General features: G+C 41.6%; 1 long non-coding RNA gene across 1 annotated transcript in view; it reads left to right on the plus strand.

Moving 5' to 3' along the window:
- The window catches only part of LINC02548 (long intergenic non-protein coding RNA 2548), a 63617-nt gene that overhangs the window by 39707 nt on the left and 3670 nt on the right, over positions 1-20240 (plus strand). The window lies entirely within an intron of this gene.

Genomic DNA, 20240 nt, shown 5'->3' on the forward strand with positions numbered 1-20240 from the left:
TCTTCCTATCCTCGATGGTCTTTACAATTTGGCATGTTTTTGCAGTGGCTGGTACCGGTTGTTCCTTTCCTTGTTTAGTGCTTCCTTCAGGAGCTGTTTTATGGCAGGCCTGGTGGTGACAAAATCTCTCCGCCTTTGCTTGTCTGTAAAGGATTTTATTTCTCCTTCAGTTATGAAGCTTAGTTTGGCTGGATTGAAATTCTGGGTTGAAAATTCTTTCCTTTAAGAATGTTGAATATTGGACCCCACTCCCTTCTGGCTTGTAGAGTTTCTGCCGAGAGATCAGCTGTTAGTCTGATGGGCTTCCCTTTGTGGGTAACCCGACCTTTCTCTCTGGCTGCCCTTAACATTTTTTCCTTCATTTCAACTTTGGTGAATCTGACAATTATGTGTCTTGGAGTTGCTCTTCTCGAGGAGTATCTTTGTGGCGTTCTCTGTATTTCCTGAATGTGAATGTTGGCCTGCCTTGCTAGATTGGGGAAGTTTTCCTGGATAATATCCTGCAGAGTGTTTTCCAACTTGGTTCCATTCTCCCCGTCACTTTCAGGTACACCAATCAGATGTAGATTTGGTCTTTTCACATAGTCCCATATTTCTTGGAGGGTTTGTTCATTTCTTTTTATTCTTTTTTCTCTAAACTTTTCTTTTCACTTCATTTCATTCATTTGATCTTCAACTCACCTTAGATAAATTTGGGTAGGTCCTACATTTTCATTAGTCACTCATTTACAGACCATCCCTAGTGGTGAAGTGTATGGGTAGGTTCCTCCTGAGTGGGCAAACCCAGTATTGGGCAGTCAGAGAGGGAAATAAAGGCTGGCAGGAGTGGAGGGGTGAAGAGGTAGGTCTTAGCCCTGGGCACTTTTGATTGCTATCAAATGCCAGACTCAGCGGTCTTTTTCCTAATGAGGAAATTCACTGTTATTTCTCAGAGTGACACAAGTTCCTGGGCTTCTGCTGAGAAAACAGACATTTTTTGTTTATTGGTTAGTCAATAAAGGAACAAGTTCAGAAGCTTTGAGCACAAATATTTCAAAAATAAATACAGGGATTCATCAATTTCTTTTTTGGAGCAGGGGTTGGGGGCACAGATTCAATAAGCCTAGATAAAGACAAAAACAATTAGGAGAAAGACATTTTCTTAAGACATTGTTAGATATTTTAAGATAAAAGTGATTACTAAATATATTTCCCAAAAGTCAAATCACATAGGTTAAGAGCTTCATTTCCCTGATGGCATTCCTGACTTCAGGCCATCTTCATAATTTTTACATTTTCTTTAACTTAATGAAATCTGCTGTGATAAAAAAATTTCCATAATTATATTCCAAGTTAAGGTTGAGAGGAAAGAAGGGGTCTAATTATTAGAAATTCTATAAGAGCTGCTGCAGGAAGGGCCTGTGGCAAAGCACGTGGGCTGGGCTTTCATCTCAGCTCCTCATCCTCTTGCTTTGTGATTTCCAACAAGTTACTGAACCCCTCAGCAAATGGAGGCAGAAGGGATCCCTACATCATGGGGTTGGTGTGAGCATCAGCTAGCCAACCAGCCAGTCATTCACTCAACAAATCCTTATCAAGCATCCCCTCTAGGGTTCCAAGTCCTCAGGCACTGTTCTTGGCAGCAGTGGAAAAGATAAGCATGGATCCCTGCTCTTATGGAACATGCATGGTGCAGGGGATGGCGGTAGACAGTAAGTATAATTAATAAGTAAATTATATAGAAGATGAGAAATGCCATGAAAAAATGAAAATATTAATATGATAGGGTAAGGGGAACTTGAGAGGGCAGGACGAAGGGCAGGATGGAGCCATGCAGGTCCCAATGTTAAATCCGGCAGTGCAGGAATGCCTTTGTTGAGAATGTGAGATTTAGGCCAAGACTTGAAGAAGGTAAAATAATGACCAGGTAGGAAGGGTCCTGGCACATTTGAAGGTAAAGAAGGCAGTGCTTCTAGAACAGAGGTAGGAGAGGTTATGTGAGTGGTGAGGGTGGGTTTTTCAGAGGATCACCTTTCCCTGTTAGTAAGCAAAGGAAACTAGCTAGGAGGCAGTAATAGAGGTGAGAGATGATGGTGACCCATAGATGACAGGAAGCTGTGAGAAATGGAGGGATTCTAGACATATTCTGAAGGCAGGGCTAGCATGATTTCCCTTTGGATTGGATATGGAGTGTCAGCATGTTTGTGGGAAAGAATCAGGGTCTCCAATGGCTATGTCTAGTTTGAGATGTCTACAGATACCAAAGTAGAAACGTCAAGAGGCAATTGTATACATGACTCTGGAGGTTGAGAGATGTTCTAGGATAAAGATATAAATTTAGGAGTCACCAGAGACTCACTAAAATACATAGCAAGTTAATTTATTGAGATAGTTATTTCTATTTTATTTATTCTCCACCCACCATGACAAAAAAAGAAGCCAGGTCTTTTTTTCCTTTTGCCTCAGGAAGAGTTGGCAATGGAAAGTATCCATCACTTGATGGCAAATCCTTTTTATTGCTTTTGTCTTCTAAAGCCTAAGCTTCCTGGAAAGGACCCCCAGGGAGGTATGTGTAATAGTCAGGTGGTTTGCATTAAACTCATCCTCCTTGTCATAGTTCAGGTAACCCAGGGCTTTCTCAGTCAGCATATAACCTTCCCCTAACCTCAGAGATTGGGTCAGGGGTGGCTCAATTTGTCAGAAGCTCAAGACATTTGCTGGGAATTCTGATATATCTGTGCATTCTCACCTCATGGACAGTGTGGTGTATGTTTGTTGGACCTGAAACTAATACAACCATTTCACCCCAATGAGGGAAGTATGCTTGAAGACTAAGCCGATATGAAATGGGGCATAACAGAAAATGACAGCAGAAACGGGGCTTATTCATGATCTATTGCTAAGTATATATTATCCCAACATTAAGTAGTTTAAAACAACAGACAGGTCTTATTTCCCACAGTATCTTTGGATGAGGAACTTGGGTGTGGTTCTGACTCATGCTTTCTCAGAGGTTCAGGCCAGATGTCAGATGGGGCTGCAGTTATCTGGAAGGCTTGCCTGCAGCTGGAGGGTCTTGTGTGAAGGTGGCACATTCAGAGATGGCAGGTCTCTGATGGGTATCGGTGGGAGGCCTGGAGTCTTCTCCGTAGGGCTGCCTTAGTCTTTGTGACAAGGCATGGTAACTTGCATCCCCCAGAGTAAATGATCTGAAAGAGAGGAAGAAAGAAACTTCAATGCCTTTTATGTTCTAGTCTCCAAAGTCACACACTATAACTTCTTCACATTCTGTTCATTAGAAGCAAGCCACTAAGTCCGTCCCATAATCAAGGGTAGAAAGGAGGAAATTGGGCTTTCCTTTTAGAAAACAGAAGTTTTCTAAAACCATCTTTCAAGAGATTAGAGTGCTTATATAACCATGTCCAAAACCTTTCCTGCCGGGAGGCGAGCCAATAGCTTTCTTTTATTTTTATTTTTTATTTTTTGCACTTTTATTTATTTATTTATTTATTTTTTTAAAATTTTTTTTTTTATTATACTCTAAGTTTTAGGGTACATGTGCACATTGTGCAGGTTAGTTACATATGTATACATGTGCCATGCTGGTGCGCTGCACCCACTAACGTGTCATCTAGCGTTAGGTATATCTCCCAATGCTATCCCTCCCCCCTCCCCCGACCCCACCACAGTCCCCAGAGTGTGATATTCCCCTTCCTGTGTCCATGTGATCTCATTGTTCAATTCCCACCTATGAGTGAGAATATGCGGTGTTTGGTTTTTTGTTCTGGTGCTGGAGAGGATGTGGAGAAATAGGAACATTTTTACACTGTTGGTGGGACTGTAAACTAGTTCAACCATTGTGGAAGTCAGTGTGGCGATTCCTCAGGGATCTAGAACTAGAAATACCATTTGACCCAGCCATCCCATTACTGGGTATATACCCAAAGGACTATAAATCATGCTGCTATAAAGACACATGCACACGTATGTTTATTGCGGCACTATTCACAATAGCAAAGACTTGGAACCAACCCAAATGTCCAACAATGATAGACTGGATTAAGAAAATGTGGCACATACACACCATGGAATACTATGCAGCCATAAAAAATGATGAGTTCATGTCCTTTGTAGGGACATGGATGAAATTGGAAACCATCATTCTCAGTAAACTATCGCAAGAGCTTTCTTTTATTTTTAAAGCCAATTTGAGTTTTTTGTTTCTTTTGCTACTTGTAGTGGAAAGCATTCTAATTGCTACAGACAGGTATAAGTTGAAGTAGCTGATCTGAGAGAGGGAAAAAGTCCCTAAAGCTGGGAAGGTGATGGTTTCTTGGAAAATGATAAGCTCTGAAAGAGGAAAGAGGAAATGGCAACTCCTAGGGAGACTAGACCTTCTATAGTGGGGCCCCCAGCCTCCCCAAAGATCTGTGGCCCAACCCCAGCACTGTATTAACCAAAGCTTTTATTATTTATATTCTGATGCTCTGACATCTGGGGCTTTGCTGACTCTGGAGGGACCATACCTCCCATGCTTAGTCAATTTCTAGAGATACTAAACATCTCATTCACAAGAGAGCTTTTCAAATACAAGCCAACCAGTCCAGAGCCCAGACCCCAACACTTTGAGTCTTATAACTCAAAAAAATTATACAGATATTTTTATAAGTTTTAATCATGATTTCACTTCATTGGTTATTTCTATTTTACCTTTCTGCCAACCTACTGATTTCTCTAAAACCTTAATTTATACCATGTCTATCTAGTAGGTTTATCTAGTAGATAAGAGGCTTTCATTTATTTCATTTATTATTTCATTTATTTCATTCAGCACTTCCTTTGTTGGGCTTCACACTCTGGGCCACTCTCCCTCCTCTTGCCCTAATCACTCCAGGGCAGGTGCCAAACAACTAGGGACAGCCCTTATGCCCCAGAGCCCACGTTATTCGAATTAGCCAATCCTAAGTCTGCTTATCCTGCTTTACCCATTCCTCCCTGCAGAAATAACAGTAGAGGCTCTTGCCCAGAATTTCCCTTCTCCCTCTGTCTCCCCACCATCCTCAGTGCATCCCAGGTGACCCTGTGACATGGTGTGCTCCCTCCTCTTAGAAACAGTATGTCATAAACTGTATTTTCTATGGTAATCATCTCCTCATCTGTTGGCCTTCTTATACCTCAAATTTTCTATTAATAAAATAGATTTTAAGTCAGGCACACAATCCATGGAACTTCCCACTTTCAAGGGACCATGCATATAACCACAAGTGGCATATCAGCTGTGACCAGTATTGTTCCTTCCAGAATGTTCTGAACTATATAAGACCCTAGAGTAAGGGAAAGAGGGGCTGGCTTGTGGAGAAAGAGTCAGACTTAGTATAAATTTAAGAAATAAAATAACATGATGCTTCTTTTTCTGAGTGTGGTGATTACAAACTACTACCATCTACATGTAAGTTTTGGTTTTTGAGGAATCTGTGATAATCCAAATAAGTAGTTATTCCTATTCATTTGCTGCTTTAAATTTTTGAAGTAACTTGCAAAGATTTATTTTTAATCATCTCTAGCCCTTACCATCTCCCCCTTTGATCTCATGACACATTTAAACACTGGGATGTGTGAAAGCATTTGCTGACAATTTATTTTACACAGATGGTACATGCCTCACCTCATCTACAAAATTTGCCAAGCATGTTGAGTCTTACTACTTAAAAAAAAATCACACAACTATTTTTGTAAATTTAATCATGAATTCACTTAACTGGTTATTCCAGTTTCACCCTTCTGGCAACCTACTGGTTTCTCTAAAATCTGAATTTACACCATGTCTATCTAATAGGTGAAAAGTTTTCATTTACTTATTTGGATTTATTTCTTTCTTTGTTATCGGGGAACCTGCCCCGATATTCACGTAGGTTCTTTTCTATTTTCCTTAAGCATTGGCCAGCTTGAGAAATAAAGGGACAGAGTACAAAAGAGATAAATTTTAAAGCTGGGCATCTGGGGGAGACATCACATGTCCGTAGGTTCCGTGATGTCCCACAAGCCACAAAAACCAGCAAGTTTTTATTAGGGATTTTCAAAAGGGGAGGGAGTGTGCAAATAGGTGTGGGTCACAGATATCAAGTACCTTGCAAGGTAATAGAATATCACAAGGCAAGTGGAGGCAGGGCGAGATCACAGGACCACAGGACCGAGGCGAAATTAAAATTGCTAATGAAGTTTCGGGCACCATTGTCATTGATAACATCTTATCAGGAGACAGGGTTTTGAGAGCAACCAGTCTGACCAAAATTATTAGGTGGGAATTTCCTCTTCCTAATAAGCCTGGGAGTGCTATAGGAGACTGGGGTCCATTTCACCCCTGCAGTCTCGACCATAAAAGACAGGCACACCTCGGGGGGCTGTTCATAGGTCTATACCTCCAGGTGCATATTCTCTTTTTTAGGGATGTTCCTTGCTGAGAAAAAGAATTCAGCAATATTTCTCCCATTTGCTTTTGAGAGAAGAGAAATATGGCTCTGTTCCATCCGGCTCACCAGCGGTCAGAGTTTAAGGTTCTCTCTCTTATTCCCTGAACAATTGCTGTTATCCTGTTCTGTTTTCAAGGTGCCCAGATTTCATATTGCTCAAACACACATGCTGTACAATTTGTGCAGTTAACACAATTATCACATGGTCCTGAGGCGACATACATCCTCCTCGGCTGACAGGATTAAGAGATTAAAGTAAAGACAGGCATAGGAAATCACAAGGGTATTGATTGGGGAAGTGATAAGTGTCCATGAAATCTTTACAATTTATGTTTAGAGATTGCAGTAAAGACAGGCATAAGAAATTATACAAGTATTAACTTGGGGAACTAATAAATGTCCATGAAATCTTCACAATCCACGTTCTTCTGCCATGGCTTCAGCCGGTCCCTCTGTTTGGGATCCCTGACTTCCCACAACACTTTGTGGGTAGGAAGGTGATCCTCCTTTATAGAAGCATCTTTCAGTAACCTTTGGTTAAGACTGACATTCCCAGAAAAGCTCTCTCCTTTGCAGATATTCTTAGACCTTCCTTGTAATGTTTTTCCCAGCACCCTTTGCTATCTGGGTCTCTATCTTCAAGCTGCCCCATCATCATCCTCAATAAATGATTACACATCTTTCATCTCAGATGAGATAAAAGCTGATTTATATGAGGCAGTTCCCACATTCGCCCTCAGGTTCCAAATTCTCTTTATCTCTGTGTTAAATTCTTTCATTTTCCCTTAGATTTCAGAGGAAGAGGTTGTAGGAAGTCATTCTTCTTTTAAGCTAAGCTGTTCCTTTTGTCCCCTTGTGGGAAAAGGATTCCTATATTCATCACCATGCATGCATTCATCCATCTTGCCAGTCATTCCCCCAACAATTAATTAGTGAGCACCTCCTATTTTGGGGAATCAGAGATGTTTAAGACACTGCCCTTGCTTTTAAGAATGTTGGAATAAGGCTGACTAACAAGCAAACCAACAATTGTAAAAGTATGTACAAAAGCACCTAAATAGCACAGAGGAGGTGATGACTTACTGTGGCATAGGGTGGTGCTTCAGTTGTCTGTTCCTATGTAACAAGCCACCCCAAAACTTCATGGCTTAAGACAACAATAATTCATGATTTTTTAGGATTCTGTAACCTGAGCTTGACTTAGCTGGGAGACTCTCCTACTTTGTGTGTTGCCTGCTGAAGCAGAAAATCCAAGATAGCTTCTTTAGTTGCACAGCTGTTGATTTTTCTATTGATTTCACTGGAAGAGCTGGACAGTGGCCAGGCAGCTCTCACCCTCCATGTGGTATCTCCACCTGGCTTACTTGGCTTTCCTCATAGTACAGCTGTCTTGGGGTTGTCAGACTTCTTTTGGCAGGTGGCTTCTAAGAGCTGCTAGTTCTCCTAAGGCCTGGGCTTGGAAATCTCAGAGTATCACTTTAACCACATCCTATTGTCAAAGCAGGTCATAAGTCCACACTAGATTCAGGAGAGGAGACATAGATTTCACTTCTTGATGAGTGGAGTGTCATGGGTGTATGTGGAGGTAATTCATGGCAGACATCTTTGGAGAGTACCACAGGAAGAAAAGTTAGGGAAAACCTCATAGAGAAGTGACTGAATTGGCCAAGGAAAAAACTGTCCAAGCATGAACTCACCATAATGTACTGAATGTTTATTTTCCCCCAACATTCTTATATTGAAATCCTAAACTGCACTGTGATGGTATTAGGACATGTGGCCTTTGGGAAGTAATTGGGTTGTGAGGGTACAGGCTTTATGCCTGGGATTAGTACCCCTATGAAAGGAACCCCAGAAAGTTATCTCACCCCTTTCCCACATGTGAAGACATGGAAGAAGTTAGCAGTCAGCAACCCAGAAGAACCTCACCAGAACCTCACCATGCTGGCCTCTCCATTCCCCAGAACTGTGAGAAATAAGTTGCTGCTGTTTATAAGCCACCTAGTCTATGGCACTTTGTTATAGCAGCCCACACTAAAACACTCACTTAATCTTTTGGTTATGAATAAGGACTTTCCTTCCCCACCAAGTTTTACCACTCCTCACCCCCGCTGCCCAGAGAACCAAGAATGGCTCACTTCTGGCATAAAGATAGGACGTGGAGAGTAGCTATTTGAGATGTGATCAGGAGTCTATTGTCCATACTATGCCCTCTTTTGGTGAGCCTGATCCACAATTGGCCTCTCCACATTCCCGGAATTTATTTGTTTCCCTGTGTGACACACCCCAGTCAATGACAAACATTTCAATAACCTGGAGAAGAGGCCTTGTTTTCCTATCCTGCCAGATCCCTGCACTTTTCCGGAGCACTTATGCTCTGCCTGAGTGATCCTCCACCTGGGAGCTGCCTGCCCTCATTATCACCATCTGAATCAATCCCTTCTAAGTCAGCGAAGTATCTGGGAACGCATTGTTGTTCCAGAATCCAGATGCCACCTTATCTAGTCTAAAGACAAATGGAATAGCACAGTTAGTTGCCCTTCATGAAACAGAGGTTAACTCAGAAATTAACAGCATAGGCTATGAACCCCACAGGACACCTTCCTCTTAGGGGTCTCAGCTGGGCAGGACATTGCCGTTGTTCTTGGAATAGGCTGTTCAGAGAAGAGACAGGACCAAGTAGACTCTTTATATCTAGGGAGTCCAAATGCTTTGTTTTTTCCCCCCCCCCAAATATATTTTGAGAACTAAAACTTTCTGAACATTTTTTTATATCAAGGCAAGGAGAAAAAAGAAAAAAAAATCACAATTTTTAAACTTTTATTTTAGATTCAGGGGTACACATGCAGGTTTGTTATATAGGTAAACTTGTGTCATGGGGGTTTGTTGTACACATTATTTTATCACCCCAGTACTAAGCCTAGTACCCAATAGTTATTATTTATTTATTTTTTTGCTCTTCTGCCTCCTCCCATCCTCTACCCTCATGTAGGCCCAAGTGTCTATTGTTCACTTCTTTGTGTTCATGAGTTCTCATCATTTAGCACCCAATTATAAGTGAGAACATGCAGTATTTGGTTTTCTGTTCCTGTGTTAGTTTGTTAAGGATAACAGCCTCCAGCTCCAACTATGTTCCTGCAAAGGACATTATCTCATTCTTTTTTCATGGCTGCATAGTATTCTATGGTATAGATGTATTACATTTTCTTTAACCAGTCTACCATTGATAGGCATTTAGGCTGATTCCATGTCTTTGCTATTGTGAATAGTGTGGCCATGAACAAGGAATCACCACAAATTAAGAGGTCAGAATTCCTATCACATCCATTTTACAAAGCACAGGGAGATGAAGACACTGGCTTATGTTACACAGCCAACAATAACAGAGATCTGAATGCAGGACTCCTTGCCCTAGGTAGCTCCCCTTCCCTGGTTAGATCCTGCCAGTCGGGTAACATGCCAGGAGCTCTGGGCCTTTCCACTGCTCTGCCCCAGGATGCTTTCTCAGGCCTGGCCAGCCTCTACCCTCTCCTTTTCCTTCTCCTGACACAAACCCAGTGACTTACCCACTTTTCTTTCCTATGAAGATTCCATCACCCCCTCTAGCTCTGGTCTTCTCCCCACTAGTCTTGGATGCATTATGGGTCACAGTTTTCCCAATTCCCTTCTTCCCCTCTGCTCTCAAACAAGAACTCACACGTTTTGTGTTTTAAGGATTTCACTGCAGGTGTCTCTAGGGACCAGGGGGAGGGTGAGAGGACAGAAGCAAAAGCCCTGCAGGTCTTTATCATTCTGGTCTTGGGTCTAGAGTCTCTGACCACCTCATACGTAGCTGAGGAAAGCCCTGGTAACCATCAAACATCCATTTTTATTTCAGAAGGTGGAGCTACTACACCTGCCCTCTGTCCCCACTGTCCCCAGCTTAGGGATGAACATGAGGATGCTTCTCTTCCTGAGAAAGTCTGCTCCCTGCCCAAAGACTCCAGCTGAGCGAAGCTCTTGTAATTTCTGGCCTCACCTGGGCAGTTTGCCTCTATGGAGTCTTCCAGATTGGGAGTCACTAAATTTCCTGGCTTCTGCCATTCCCACCTTGTCCTCTGGAGGCACTGTCTCATGACTTGGCCCCAGTCCTTTCAGACCACCAGGACCCTGGCTAAGGGAATGGGCAGCTGCCCCCGGCTGATTAGGTTGCTGGCCTCAGAAGGCATAACAGGATACTGCAACTTGAAGTAGGTCCCATCAGCTGGAGCACTTACCAACAGACAAACATCTCCTCGAGATTTAAAGCATTCAATTTCTGACTGCTTAAGAAAAATTCCATAAGGGAATTTGAGTTATGAATCAAGAGGGAGACTGCTGTGGATTTATTTTTCCTTTTTCTTTCTATTTTTTTTTCCCCCAGAGGAGAGCTGATACAATTAGGTTAAAATGGAATAGGTCATTGTCTCACCAGGTGATTCTTAGGGGAAAGCAGAGATGGTGTAGCTTGAAAATCATTCGGCATCAGCCACAGCCATAGAGTAGGAGGGAGAGTCAGCATTCTCAGCAGGCTATGAAAGCCAGTTATTCATTACCACCAAGACTTGACAGTACACTGAACACCCAACATTATATTTATGCTACATAAAATAAAGTGATACAATTTTTATGACCCAATTTAAACCAGCAGAGGGTATCGGTTTAATAAAGACAAGGACGATAGAATTATCTATAGATCTACATAACAAAAAGCTAATAAAAAGAGAACTGCACTAATTTGGCAGGAAATAGATTGTATTGTAATAAAATTTGCAAAATGGAGAAAAAGTGCCTCACTCTGAATTTGTGTGAGTTAAGTTGACAGGTGCTGAGACCTGCAAAAGGAAAAAAGCAAGAACCACACAGCAGTTTTTTTCTGAATTCCCAGGCCAAGGACAAGTTTCCTTCCTTTATTTATCCTTCTGACAACAAAACAGACAATCTGCTGTGAAAAACTTAAACATTTTAACAACTATGCAACAAACAAGCAAAGTTTCCTCAGGTTGTATAAGATTTTTCAAAGTGGAATTTCACTCCATGTTGATACTTTGCTTTACCTTCTAGATATCCATGGCAACTGGTTGGAAATGCCTAATATAAATATAGAAATATCGACTCTAGCTGCTCCCTGGACTGGTGAGAGCAGTGGGCTCAGAGCTGAGTGTGACTTCACTGAGAAAGGAAAATGTGCATGATATATGGTGGATTTCAATTTTGTGCCACCCACCATGTGTTCATGGAGCTTCTCCTAATGGTCCACCTCCACCTCAGAACTGGGTTTGGGGGGACAAGAAAAGTCTGATCTTGTCTCTGTCCTCCACAAGCTCACAGTCCTTAGGGGATGCAAATTACTTTGATGTGTTGGCATTTCTTTTAAGGGTTTGGGGTTGAAGGTAAATCCTAACCAGCTTTGTTCATTCTGCCTATAGAATTTTCTCACCCATGCTCCTAGTACCAAGGTCATGGTGGTGTCAGCCCCTTAAATCTTTTTCCTCTGTTCATCAGTCAACTCCCTTGAACTACTCATCTTCCCTTCCAGCTGGAGCCCAGCCCTGGCTCAATCTAACCACTGGCTTCCATTACCGCTCCTCGGGGTACAGAGATGGACCTGGGGACATCAAGTATCTAATCCTTGTCAGACTATTGTCAAACCCTGGGCTGTTTAGTCTCTAGAGTGGTGTGCTAGTTAATTTTATGTGTCATTTTGGCTAGGCCATAGTACCCAGATATTTGGCAAGCCTCCATGACTTCATGAGCCAATTCCTTAAAAATAATCTTTCTCTCTCTCTTTCGTTTGATTTCTCTGAAAAACCTGTCTAAGAAAAGTGGCATTCAATCTCTGCTCCTCAGAACTCCAGGGCTTCTCTGAGGAGCTTCGGGGAGTCCTGCAGGGAGGGAGGAGAAAGAAGGAGACAGGAGGCTGAGCAGGCTGGGTCAGGCCTTCTCCCTGCTACAAAGTAGCTCCACTTCCATTTGTTTTATATATTAATGCTACATAAACACTATCAAATCCATCTAAGTCTCAGGAAGGATGGAGGCTGAGAAGTGATCATTCGATTTGACCACTGGGGAATCTCTAGTGGCCTTTGCTTGGTTTCAGAAAAAGGCTGGGGGCAGAACCAGCTTAAATGTGGTGAGGGAGGTGAGGAAGTGAAGGTAGTTAATATGAACTTATTTTTTTCTAGAATGGAGGTAAGGAAGTAGCTTGGGGGGTGGGGAGGGAATACAGTTTAGAAAGCGTTTCCTTTGAGAATTCATAAGTTTGAGGGAAGAGAGGAAGCTGCCCACAAGTTGAGAAGGAGTCATTGAAAGTACATGTGGGAAGGGCAGTTGGTGACACAGCATCCCTGGGAAGTGGACAGGGAGGGAACCAAGAGCCCTACCTGGCTGTGTGAACTCAGACAAGTTACTTGTCCTCTGGAACCTCCATGCCTTCATTTGTAAACTGGCGATCACAGTGCCCATCTCATTGGCTTGTAAGGATTAAATGAAATGCAGTGTGTAAAAGCAGATAACGTAGGGCCTGGTGTACAAAGGGGCAGTCACGCTTTCCTTCTCTCTCAGCTTTCTGATACCACTGTGCACTTTCTCCTGGCTTCCACCTCTCTGTTTGCACCTGTGATTGGAATCAGGAAGATAAGGGTTTAAGCCAGCGCTGTCCCACATAATGACTATTTGACTGTAGGCAGGTTATCCAATCTACCCAATCCTCAGTATTGATATGTGAAGAATGGGATTATATTTCTACTTTAGGGTTCTTTGTAAAGGTTAAATGAGATAGTATATATAAGGCACCCACTGAACTGCCTAACTTACAGAAGATGCAGTCAAGGAAAAAATAGTTTAAGTGACTCAACAGAGGTCAAATGCTTTATGAGCCTGATGTGAGTCAGGCAGCACCTGAATCAAAGCACAATTGTAGTTTTATGGGGTGAAGAGAAGAGAGGGGTACGTGTCCTTGTGGTTTGGCTCAGGTAGCTGTTTCTTCACTAACTGCAGTAAACTTGAGCTTGGAACTGTGCCTCTTGTTCAGGATCATTCGTGCAACCCCAGAACAGTTCTTTCAAGAGCCTTTTTCTTTCTTTTTAACTTTGCAGCTTTTCTGCTAGTAAAGTTACAGAGAAAGAGAAGGCAACAAAAAGAAAAAAGGGAGAGAAGGGGGAAAAGGAGAGAGGAGACAAGGGTTAATGAAAAATACCTGGGGGCCTCAATCATGTCAGTTTTAATTATCTTACAACATTGAGTAAATGTGCTGAATGAATTAACAAATGCATATCTGGCCTAGGAGCTACCTTAGTACACTGAACTGAGATGCAGAGTTATTCAAATAACTCTGGGTAAAAGCCCATGCTTATTTTTTAAAACAAGACACTAAAAATATATATAACCCGGGTTTCCCCAATCTCTCTACCCTATAGTTACCCTTTCTTTAAATTCCCAACCGAGATGATTTAAGATTCCCTCCTTGCTGATTGCAGAAATTCTGGCCTATCATGGGGGTTTTCTTCAGAAACATTTTTGCGATTTCCCCAAGATGATTTTTGTTAGCCACAAATGGGTCCTGACTATTGTGCCATCTTACTCCAAAAGGCTGCCTTCTGACCTCTGGGTCATCATTTGCTACCTTCTAACTTTTCTCCAGGTTCTCTCTCTTCTCCTTGGGACAGGTCCTTTCCTAAGATCAAGTTATCAATTTCAACAAAACTTAATGAAAGGTTTAGGGGTAATAGCTTCAACATATAGGAAGTCCATCTTAAATGAGGACCTGGGCATCTCAACCTCTAGCACCATAAGACCTGGCTCCTGCAGAGGCCAGCCCCTCACCCTTGGCTTCCTGTTGCTGCCCGTTGCAGGCCCTTCTGGCTACCTTCCCACATAAACAAGAATTCCCACAGGCATCCCCTCTGTCCAAATTCAGGCCTCCAACATCCTTTGAGGCCCACCAGGAGAGGGAGTGGGAAAGCCTTTACCTGCCTCACCTACATTTCCTCCCTGTCCTCATCACCACCCCCACTCCTCACTGGGACAGCTATTGCCCAGATAAACAATAGCTTGCCTCCTCCATGTGTCCACATTCAAACACAGCAGAAGAGGCTTTATCTTTTCCGAACCAAACTGCTGCCTTGAAATGTTTCCCTCTCCCAAAGAAAAAATTAGTCTTGCTTCAAAGATGATGTATTAGTTTCCTACGGTTCTGTAACAAATGGTCACAAACTTGGTGACAAACTTGGATAACAAAAGCTTATCACTTAACAATTCTAGAGGTCACAAGTCTTAAATGCACTTCACTGGAGTAAAATTAAGTTGTTCCTTTTGGAGGCTTGAAGAGGGAAATTGTTTCCTTGCCTTTTGCAGCTTCTAAAGGCCTCCTGCGTTCCTTAGTCTCCTTGTGTCTTCAAAACCAGCAGCGGCCAGTTGAGGCTCTCTCACTTCTGAGTCTGACTTTCCTGCCTCTCTCTTTCCCTCATAAAGACTCTTGTGATGATATTGGATCCACCTGGAAAATTCAGGCTGCTCTCCCCATCTCAAGATTTTGAGAATGTCTGCAAAGTTGCTTTTGCTATGTAAGGTAGCATATTCACAGATTTGGGGAATTAGGACTTGGACCTCCTGTATTTGTGGGGGAAATTATTCTGCCTACCACAGATGAGTTCTCTTTTACTACTTGAGAAATAGGAAAAACATTTTAAACTTTAAAATAACTTTAAAAGAGTGGTTTGGGCTGGACACAGTGGCACACGCCTGTAATCCTAGCAGTCTGGGAGTCTGAGGTGGGCAGATCACCTGAGGTCAGGAGTTTGAGACCAGCCTGGCCAACATGGCAAAACCTGATCTCTACTAAAACGTACAAAAATTAGCTGGGTGCGGTGGCAGGCACCTATAATCCCAGCTACTCGGGAGGGTGAGGCAGGGAGAATTGCTTGAACCCAGGAGGTGGAGGTTGCAGTGAGCCAAGATCATGCCACTGCACTCCAGCCTGGGTGATAGAGTGAGACTCAGTCTCAAAAGAAAAAAAAAGAGTGGTTTGTTCTGAGCACATGTATAAATAATTTATAATAAGATGGAGATATTTTTGTTGTAATTCTTCATGGAAAGAGCCCGTATTTCTTTGGAAGAAATAAGGCAATATGGGATGTGGAGGAACGAGAGGGGTGGGATGGGCGATAGGGAAGTGAGTCCTTTATGACATTTTAATATAACAAAAGATGGTCACTATAGTGTGTTCTGCAGATAGCGAAGCCTGTGGAGGACCCTTTATTTACAGAAGAGGGTAATAGAGTCGATATGTAAACTTGAGAGTGGGAACAGGGGTTGAGTTACTTAACAGGGGAGATAGAAAATTGAGATTCTCAAAGGAAAATTTAAGATGAAAGGATATAAGAACTGAGTCCCGCTAAGAAAGGGGGAGGGAAAGAAATAATATAACCAAACTATACCAGTCAAAAAATTAAACTTATGGCTAGAATGGGCAATGGGCATGTGAGATATGGGGACACCCTCATTCATTTTGGGGGGGTCTTCATTCAAGTTCACCTTGCTCACTAATGTCATAGGGGAGCATGAGATAGGAGGAGATGAAAAAAATGCAGAGTTCTACCCCGGGGCAGTACACAGTAAAAGGAGTGGTACTTGTAGGGTTCAGGGCAAGAGACAAACTGCATTTGGGTTGCAATTGACATAGGAGTTAACTGTGGTTCCTCCCATTATATGTAGCACCAAACTCCTTGTCTGGTCTACGTGAGTGGTCTTGCATCATCTGGCTGCTGCCATCTCTGACACCTTTCTGAGCACTCTTTCCCCTCACTACATCCACCCACTATCTCCCCTAAAGTCCCTGAAGGGCCCAACATGGTCCTAATTTTCACTTGTTTATTTGTTTTTACATCCCTCTCTACAACTAATCTGTAAACTCAACAAACTCATGCATACTTTTTAAAATCACAACATAGCTCCTAACCTTGAACCGGGAGCATAGACAAGTGTGTGGGATTTTGTTGAATGAATGAATAAGTCATCGTCTTTGGCTTATTCTTCTTAATTTCATTTTTTCAGCTTATTTCTAAGTCCCAGTTGGTTCTTCCTCACTCATTTCAGATGCCTCTTCCTGTCCATATCACTTGCTTCTGCATAAAGTGGGTGCAGAAGATAATGAGACGGATTTGACCGCGGTGAACAGGCAGGCACACAAGATGGAGCAGGCCCTGGTGATAAACCCCAATTCAAGTGAGAGGAAGTATGAGGAACCAGATTGGAAGATGGAGTCCAGTGCCCAGAGATCATGGTCCAGGCAGGTAGTGTAACCATGTGCTGCTGTACAAGAGGGAACCAGAGGGTTTTCTGACAGGTGTTGGGATCAATGAGATAATGGAAGGAAGGTAGATATGTGGGGGACTCGAGGTTTAGGACTGAAACCAGAGCATGAGTGTCTGTGTGTGGATATATGTATGCTGGTTTGGGGGCATCTTGCCTAACCTTGCAGAGCCTTGCTTTATACATCAGTTAACTGGGAAAGACAATATCTGTTTGGTAGGGTTGCTGGGAGGATTAATTGTGATGTTGCGTGCTAATGTCTGGCACACAGTTGGCACTCAAAACTATTGGTGTCCCATTCTTCAAACTTAGCTGACATCTCTTTCAGGCACCCCTCAACCATATGTGATCTTGGCTCTCCTCAACACCCACATATAGTTGTTGGTACCTCTCTCTAATGGCATTTGCATTTTCTGCATTTTATTAAGAGTTTCATTTCCCTTGTTCTATCTCCCTGTTCAGATTTTAAGCTCTTGAAGGCAAAGCCTAAATTGTCTTTATCTTAGCAGCCTCCACAGAAGGTGCTACGGAACTGGCACAGTGACTTGCAGCTGTGCTCAAAGTGTTTAATAAGCATTTGTTGAATGTAATTGAAATGTCGAAAACAACCTGATCCCATTGTCATTCTGAGAAATATCAGTCTTAAGAGCCAGGCTATCATGCATTATTCATGAGAGAATCACCCTCAACGTTCTTGTTTCCTGGTCTACCATTAGAGGAGGAGGCAGGTCAGTGGTGTGGACAGAAGATCTGATCTCTCTCTCCATTAGCTCACCCCAGGCCCAGTGAGGTTAGCTTGGCATTGCCAATCACAGAACCAGAGTCCTTGCAGTTCTCTCTCATAGAAGCTCTGATGGGAATATTGGTCTTTTAATACAATGCCAGCTTCAAATATATTATTTTTTCACATTTTTAGTTGTTTTAAAAAAGTAAAACTCTAACACTAAGTGCAGTCCCAGAGGACAGATATCGTTTAGTGAAAGAAGTCATACCTTTGGCATTAAAACAAATGTTTAGGGAAAGGAGGTACAGAAAATCTGGATATGACCATAGTTGGCTCCTCCATGAGATGGCACACACAGAGCCTTCCTTTATTTTTATTTCCTAATTTGATAAAAAGTTTGAGGTTTTATGCTGTCATAGAGTGGGTGGGCCTCTGATATTTATGTGGCTGATTTCATGTACTCTGACAGTTGCATCCCAATTCTGACAGTTGAAAAACCATCTCCCACTTATCAGCACACTGGGGTGTTGATATTGTGTTGGTGTGTTCTGGGAGCATCCTGAAGCTACACTTAGAGACCCAAGGATTTTCAGTCTTTTTAGAATTTAAAGCATACTTAGTTTGAATCGATTCACTCACAAAATTACACGTTTCTGGAAGGACTAAACAATCAACTAGAGATCATTTCGAGTTGAGTTTGTAGGAAAACACACAGTCTCTTTGCTCACACATTATTTTTGCTACGTTTCCAGCAGACCCTCGCCAATCAAGGCACCTTATCTTTGCAGATGCCACTTCTTCTCCTTGGGATGTTTCCCATCCCATGTCCTTATGGGGTGTAAGGTCATCTTTAGCTAAGGTCAAATGTCATCTTCCCCAGTCCCAGCTGGAGTGAATTGCTCCCTCTTTTCATTCCCACATAATTGTATACACCTCTCTCTGGTGCTGCTTTTTATATTGCTGCAATTATCTGTTTAAATGCCTGTCTCCTTTTGTAGATTGTGAATCCTTTAGTGACAGAGATGACTTTCTTTCCTAAGACCATTTTCCTGCTTCTCTTTGTATCCCATGACCTGCATGAAAATGAAAAAACTCGCAGGCCAGTCTCAAGGAATTGACAGTTATGAATATACAAACAGAATAGTTTAAAATCCTGCTCTACAATGATTAGAATCATAGCAAACTGTAAAAAAGTAAAAAGGGTACTGTAGATTATAATGGTGAAACAAAAGACACATACAATCAAAATATATATAATACTTGCAAACAAGGTGTACCTAAGAGATGGCAGGAATGCTTCCTGCCCCCACCATTGCCTGCTGGACTTAATGTAAATAAGAAACAAGCTTCTATAGTGTTAAATCTCTTCTTACCCTTCTACTCATGTATTACTTATTCTCTGTTCTCTTAGCAACCACTCTTTTCCACACTTAGGTTATTTTTATCTTCAAAATAAGTAGTTGAAATAGTAGTTATATTTCATGCAGAATAGTTTCACTGCTCATTATTTATGCATTTCTGTAGCCAAAATTTCTCCTTTTAACATTCTTTGTCATTCTAGATAATGCCCTCCAATGACTTGAATGAAATAACTATTTGGGTTGTAAAGTTTCTGAAGAATTTCACATCTCATTACATTCATGAAAAAAATAGTAGCTTGAATGGACATGGCCATTTCCTATCACTCTTTTTCTTTAAAAATTTTGAAAATAAAATTCATTGTCTTCTGACACTGTAAGTTAAAGTAGAGAAAGGCGAAACTATCTGATATGGGCCCATTGGAATTTTTTCTAGATAATACATCGTGAAGAGATTAATGCATGGCTAGAGGGGTGGGAGGTAGATCTATGAAACATGCATATCCCCCAGTCCTACTCACCATCTTCCTGGTTCCCACCTCCCTCTCACCACAGGTAATAATTATTATTCTGTATAGCTAGTAGATACAACCATTGGAAGAAGTTTCTTATGTGTCAACAAGTAAACATTAATATATATTACTATTCCCCATCCTTATAAAACAGGAGGGGAAAAAGTGAAGATAATTATTTTAATTTGGTTGGAACGAAAGCAGAATACAAAAGGCATAAAATAGGTAGATTAGCTCTCTGATTAAGCTAATGATTAATGAGAAAGCACAAAGGAAGAAAGAAAATCCAAAAAGGTCCAACTCCTTATCTGCCATAAAAGGACCTCTAGGTTATGCAACAATAGACAAATATAAATTGATGGTTATAGGACATGGGCTATTTATGCAAGTTCTGAAGTTAATAATGAGTAATATGAAAACCAAGTATTTACCTTTTAAATCATACTAGAATAAAAAAGGAAACTAATGTTGTTCATATATCAAAAAGCCATAATAGAAAAGGGGCCTCAAGGAGAAATAATGTTTAAAAGCATAAACTAGGATGACACAACTAGTATTGTAATGATCATCATGCTATCAACATTGAAATAGTGGTTTGATAAATTAAAGTTTATTGGCCCTCTGGAAGGTGATGAAGATAAAGGAAATAATCTTTTTAAGGACTGGGTGATGAGCAAAAGCATTTAAGATGTGAAGGTAAGTGAAAAGCTGATAAGTTCATTGGGATTGCGGCTGTAAAACACATCTGTGGACAGGTGAGGGGTCATGTGGCAGGGTGAGGGTGGTGAGATTACAGGATTTTTGTTACTATTTTTCTTTAAAATATTCTAAAGTTTTGTTTTTGTGTTGCCTTTCTTTTATTACATTA

This window comes from Homo sapiens, chromosome 11 (assembly GCF_000001405.40).
Source record: "Homo sapiens chromosome 11, GRCh38.p14 Primary Assembly".
In the NCBI taxonomy this organism is placed as follows: domain Eukaryota; kingdom Metazoa; phylum Chordata; class Mammalia; order Primates; family Hominidae; genus Homo; species Homo sapiens.